This window comes from Homo sapiens, chromosome 1, assembly GCF_000001405.40.
Source record: "Homo sapiens chromosome 1, GRCh38.p14 Primary Assembly".
NCBI lineage: Eukaryota > Metazoa > Chordata > Mammalia > Primates > Hominidae > Homo > Homo sapiens.
In genome coordinates, this window is record NC_000001.11 from 38,745,516 (window position 1) to 38,751,515 (window position 6,000).

Consider the following 6,000-nt stretch of genomic DNA (forward strand, 5'->3'; position numbering starts at 1 on the left):
CAGGCAATGCCTCGTACCCTTTCCGGTTCCCAGCACCCATGACCACTGTGGACATGCCTTCAATTCCAGGGTCGCTGCCTCTCACTTCCAAACCGTGCAACCATTAAAGCAAACATTCCTCCCACACCTCTAGTCACAAGCAGATAGGGTGAGTCACTTAGGTCATGATCCTCCCCACTGCATACACACACTTTCTTACCTGGCCAGACAGACAGCCTTCCTGGGACTTGGCAGTAAGGTCTTCTCGAGGTATCTGAGCCATTCTAGCCTGCTGGCTCACATTGGCCCAAGGAACAGCAGTTGTAATAGGCATTTTCAGCTTCTTAGAACCTTTTCTTTTCCAAAGCAAATCCATCCCCACTGGTGGGGACTGTCGATCATATGGCCCTACCTCCCCAGCCCAAGTTGGCCAATCAAAATACCCCAATGGTACTGGACTCAGAGTGATTGGCCAAGGCATGGGCACATGACCCAAGCTGGCAGACTGTCCCAATGGCTCCAGACACAACCACGTGTTGATCCAGAACTGATATCTCCAAGGTGCAGATGAAAACAGTAAGTTGAGGAAGAAAGTTTCTCTGTCTGACATTAGCTTTGCCCAGAGTGTCTCTGAGTGCAAATCTAACATAGTCATTTTCCTAGTGCTGATGACATTCACTGGGGCCATGAATTAGTCAGGACAGGCTACACTAGGCTGCAGGAAAAACTAAACCATGAAATCTCAGAGGCTTAACACAATAAAGGTTTACTTCTTAGAAAAAGTCAGATGTGAGTCAGGCTGGCCCCCTCTGTCTTGAATATTTGGCTCCTCTCAAAGTCTATTGGCCTGAACTAGTAATGTTACCCCAACCCAACCACAAGAGATACTGGGAAACATAAGAGTGTGTGTAGATACTGGGTGAGTATCAACTGCCATAAGTCGAATGATATTTTTTTTAAATCTCTAAATATTATTTGAGCCAGAGTTCTTACTTTCTCTGAGTTTTCTCTAGGGCCCCAAAGAGCCATGGCTTTTGGAGGGAAGCCCAGAACCCAGGAGAATAAGAACCATTTTCTTCATCCCGCCCTAAAGCTGTCCTGCCTGACAGAGCCCTCCAGACAAACCCCAGCTGGGCACCAAAGTTGTCCCACACTGAAACACCCCAGGATAGACAACCAGACCTCGGGCCTCCTCCTGCCCCCTGTCTGGGAGCCCTGGGGATTGGGCTGCAGAATTACACCAAACCATCTAGGCTGAAAACTCTGAAAAATGCTTCCTGAGCAATTAGGCCAACGCAAACAAAGTGGCCCAGAAAATCAAGGCTCCCACAAGCGCAGGGACTTGATCTTGAAGGAAAACAACATTTCCAGCCTTGTACCTCTTAATCAATGCAATTATGCAAGAGGCCTTTGCCGATAGTCCCCCTGCTAGTCTCTACCCAACCCCAGATATTGCTCAGTTGGTAAGAGCCTAATTAGAGGAAGGAGAGCAGGGAGGGTGGGGGCATCGTGTGGCTCCTTTTCAGGAGGCTGCCGTGCACCTTCAAAGGAGCCATTCCCCGCAAGTGGAGGGCTCTCCAGAGCCCGGAGCTCAAGGTGAGGGAAAAATGGCAGCTCCAAGCTTGTAAATCAGCACCACCTAATGTAAACAATGTACTCTTCCTGCTTCTAATGAGCCCATTTTCCCCCAGCTGGAAGGGGCTGGCCGTGGCAGAGAGGCCTTTGATGTGATTCACTGGAAGCTTGATGCTGGCGCGGAGGCATTCTGTAGCAGGCTGAGCCCTTTCATCTCAGCAAAGAGCGACAACTCCCTAATATCACCGGCTCACCTGGAAGACAGGTCTTTTACAACAATGATTCTGGACTCAGCTGTCGAAGAAAAACGGATGGTTTTGCTTTTACTCATCTTGATCAAATTAGCCCGGAAGCTGTCTGGCTTCTCGGAGGTGGAGAGGGGTGGGTGCGGGTGGGGCAGGTGCAGAGAGGCTGGGGAGACCACAATGGAATAGATTATGCGAACGTATTCATTTGTATAAACACAAACTTTCTTGAGGAAATCATCTGACTAAATTAGGAAAAATTGTTTATGATCCATGGGCAGAGTTAGACCAAACACCCCCAAAATAATCTGCGCTGTTTTCCCCAGTCATTGACAAGAATGCAGTTTTCTCTTAGGTGAAGACTTCAGGATGGGAGGGGCAGAAGGTGGGAGCAGACGAGACCCCTCCCCAAGATGACCCAGAAAACATAGCAGCCACCACAAGGACTGAGGTGGAGGTGCCATGGAACAGCCTGAGGCTTCCTGGCTTTCCCAGCCTCTGCGGAAGAAAGCAGCCTTCCATTTCTGCTTCCACCTCCCCTCTGCTTGAGCCGCAGTTATCAGTGCCACGATTCAGATGGGAGAACTGAAGCCAGACAGGGAAAGGCTTTACTCTACGTCACATGATGGTGTGGGGGCAGATCTGAGACTGGAACCCAGGACTCCAACTCCTGGTCGATGGACTCCCACTAACCAGCTCCATATCCCCTAGGTGCTATGGGTTGGAGTCTATCCTTTGACCATCACAGGCTCCCAGAACACAATTTGTTTACAATATAGTTATTAAAGGAAGGGGTGTCATTCTAGTCCCCCCAGTACAGACACACACATATTGGGCTACAGCATCCACCATTGTAACAGCAAAAATTATCATAGCCCCTGCTGGGTACCAAGCACTGGGCCAGTCCATTGCAGGCACTACCTCATGCCATTCTCATGGTACGCCTATGTCATGGAAGTGTTATGACTCCCACTTTCCAGATGAGGGAAATAAGGCTCAAGGTGGCTGAGCTGTCTCTGCACACAGTCAGCAGAACACTTACAAAGAAACACACTCTGGAATTACCAATTGGCACCATGTCCACTTAGTTCAACCTTAATGGTAAATATGGCCTCTGAGAAGTCACATTAACCCTTCACTCTACAGGAAGACCTGGGGGACCCTAATGCAGTGAATGGGTCCCAGAATCCAATGAGGGTTTCTAGGCCCAACAATTCAGCCGGACCTGCAAACTGCAGGCCAAGGAGAGAATGCTTCAAAAGTGATCTCTAATTCCAGTTCCACAGTTAGCAGACCAGTCTCACCATAATCCACCTGAACTCAGGTGGCATTTCAGCTGCCCCAATCCTAGGCCACATGCCTATCATTTCTCACTGGAACCACTGCAACAGCCATCTAGCTTCTCTCCCTTCCTCCTATCACCACTCGCTTCATCTATTCTCCATGAGGCAACCAGAATAAGTTGTGTTGAATGAATACATATCTGCTCATCTGCCTGCTTAAAACCCTTTAACGTTCCTCATCATTTAAAAATATAATTGAACTCCTTCATATGACCCAACGTCCTCCATGATTGAGTCTCCCGCCTCTCTCATGCTGCCATATTGGATTTCTTCCAGTTGGTCTAAGCATGTCCCACTCTTTCATCTCTGGAACTTTGCACATGCTGTTCCTTCTTCCCAGAACACCCTTCCCAACTCGAATAACTTAGGTAATCCTTTAGGACTCAGCTTAAACATCACTACCCCTAAGAGATCTTCCCTTACCATCACCCACCCTCCCTGGGTCCCAGATGAGCTCCCTGTTTTACCTCATCATGGCACAGCACCTACATTTCCCTCGTGGAACCCGTATTACCCTTGTTGTTGACCTTTATATATGGATCTGTAGATCTATCCATCATCCTTGCTAGACTGTAAACCCCAAGAGGCCGGAGCCCATGTCTGTCTTGTTCTTCCCTGTATTGTATTCCTAACTCCAAAGAATCAGGAATATTTTATTTTAAAGAAGCCTAAAAGACTTAGGAATTAAGAATATTTTATTTTAAAATAAGCCTAATTAAGACACTTATGAATGTCTCATTCACAAGAGAGGTCAGTAAATACTTGACGAAGAAAGAAGGAAAAGAAGGAGAGGAGGAGTGAAGGGGGAGGTCTTTGTCCTGTAAGAGCTGTCAACCCTTTCCCTACTGAGCCAATGTGAAAACTGCCTTCAGTAACCCTAAGGAGGAATGGCATTTACAGAGCAGTCCACATGCCAGGCACTTTCCAGCAACTCATTCAATCCTCACAACTACGTTGTCAGGTAGAGCCCACCTTTAGCCCCATTTGAGGAATCTGAGAGTCAGAGGGCTGAAGTAATATGTCCATCTTCACACAGCTAGTAAGTGACAATGACGGGATTTGCATTCCGGTCTGAGTTCAGAGGCTGGACTTTTAACCAATACAGTACAGTGCTTCCTGGGAAGATCTAAAATGGTCATATATTGGCCGTAAGGATCTTCCATGTGCAAGATCAAGTTTGCTGTGAAATAAAATAAGCATGAAGTTGCATCTCCAAAGAGAATTATATGGAGGAGGAAAAGTTTAATCTTGAAACCTTTAAAATATATTTTCATAAAGCCCCAATCAGTCACTCTTAAAGAAGCTGAGCCTCACATATCACCTGATATCTGAGCCACTGAAGGAAAGTAAAATCTTCCCTTGACAAGTGTGTAAACTGGGAAGATAAGGAAGGTAAGAGACAAGTGTGACTTTCAAGACTGCCAAGAAGAGTAAGGGGAGAATGAAAATTTCACTCTAAAATGTTTGGGCCTCAGAGAGGGAAGTGCTTCCTCTCTCCACACCCAGGAGGCACGCACGAAGGAGTGGCAGCTCGGTCCCCTTGGCCAGGCCAAACCAGGGATCCCTGAACACAGAAGGAAAGTGTAGAAGTAAGTAATGGGCTCTAACTGTGGGGATATTTTCTGTTCTTTCTCAAAGATGCAAGCTCTCTTAGGGTACATAACAAGTCTGGGCATTCTCTATGGGTTAATTACCTGATGTCATTTCCCTTCTCCTTGACTTACAGATTCCCGATTTTGTTCCAGTATCAGCAGGTCACAAGCTCATACAACTGTATTTTGATTGGTCTAAGCCAATTGAGGTCATTCTACCCCTCTGGCCAATGATTGTTTAGGAATGGGCATAGGATGTGATTCTAGCCAATGAGCCAAGGGGGAGTCTGCTAGGAAACTTTTGGAATCTTTTAAGATCTTTGATCTTTGATCTTAAAGAGAGCTGTCTGGAGCTGCTGCAGCCATCTTGTGACCATGAGGGAAACAGTTGACATACAGAGGATGTTAGAGAGGAAAAGTGGAAACAACCTGAGTCCCTGATGAGCTCACTGGATCGTGAAAATAACTGACCCTGGAATTGTCCTAACTCCAGGTTTCTTATTATGTGAGCATTAAATTGTCATTTTGTCTAAACTTCTTTGAGTTGGGTCTTCTGTTTCTCATACCCAAAAGCACCCTAATTGATATGTACTGTGGAAAAAGCACTGATCTTGGAGTTCAAACAGATACAAGTTTAAATTCCAGTTCTGCAGTGTGATCTTAGGCAAGAAGCATCACCTCTCTGGGCCTTGCCTTTTTCATCTTTTGCTATCTGGAAGTGGAATTAAACTCATTTACATGACAAATATTTTTGGATAAGAATAATTTGAAAGCAATAAAGATGAATGGCATGATTCCTTCCCTGGGGTGGGAGCTCAGTTTGGTGAGAGAATTCTGATGCTTGCACAGATAATTATATTTCCTTTAGAATATGATGGCATTGATTATTATTTAATAGCTACATTATTATTTTTTGTACTACTGAATAAAAAATGTGCCAGGTAAAGTGGCTCACGCCTGTAACCTCAACACTTTGGGAGGCCAAGGCAGGTAAATCGCTTGAGTCCAGGAGTTCAAGACCAGGCTGGGCAACATGGTAAAACCCTGTCTCCACAGGCATGTGCCTGTGTTCCTAGCTACTCAGGAGGCTGAGGCAGGAGGATCACCTGAGCCTGGGAGTTCCAGCCTCACTGGGAGCCTGCAGTGAGCCATGATCATGCCACTGTACTCTAGCCCAGGCAACAGAGTGAGACCCTGCCTCAAAAAAAAAAAAAAAAAAGCCACAAATGAAACTAAGATACAATGCTTTTTATCATGGGTTTTTTA

The 6,000-nt window shown here is 46.2% G+C and overlaps 1 annotated feature.

The window, feature by feature from the left end:
- Positions 1,359-1,942: an enhancer, noted in NCBI's record as "NANOG hESC enhancer chr1:39212546-39213129 (GRCh37/hg19 assembly coordinates)". NCBI's record gives its function as "activates a minimal SCP1, AML or CMV promoter by ChIP-STARR-seq in primed H9 embryonic stem cells {active_cell/tissue: H9 hESC(primed)}" and the evidence as "EXISTENCE:reporter gene assay evidence [ECO:0000049][PMID:30033119]".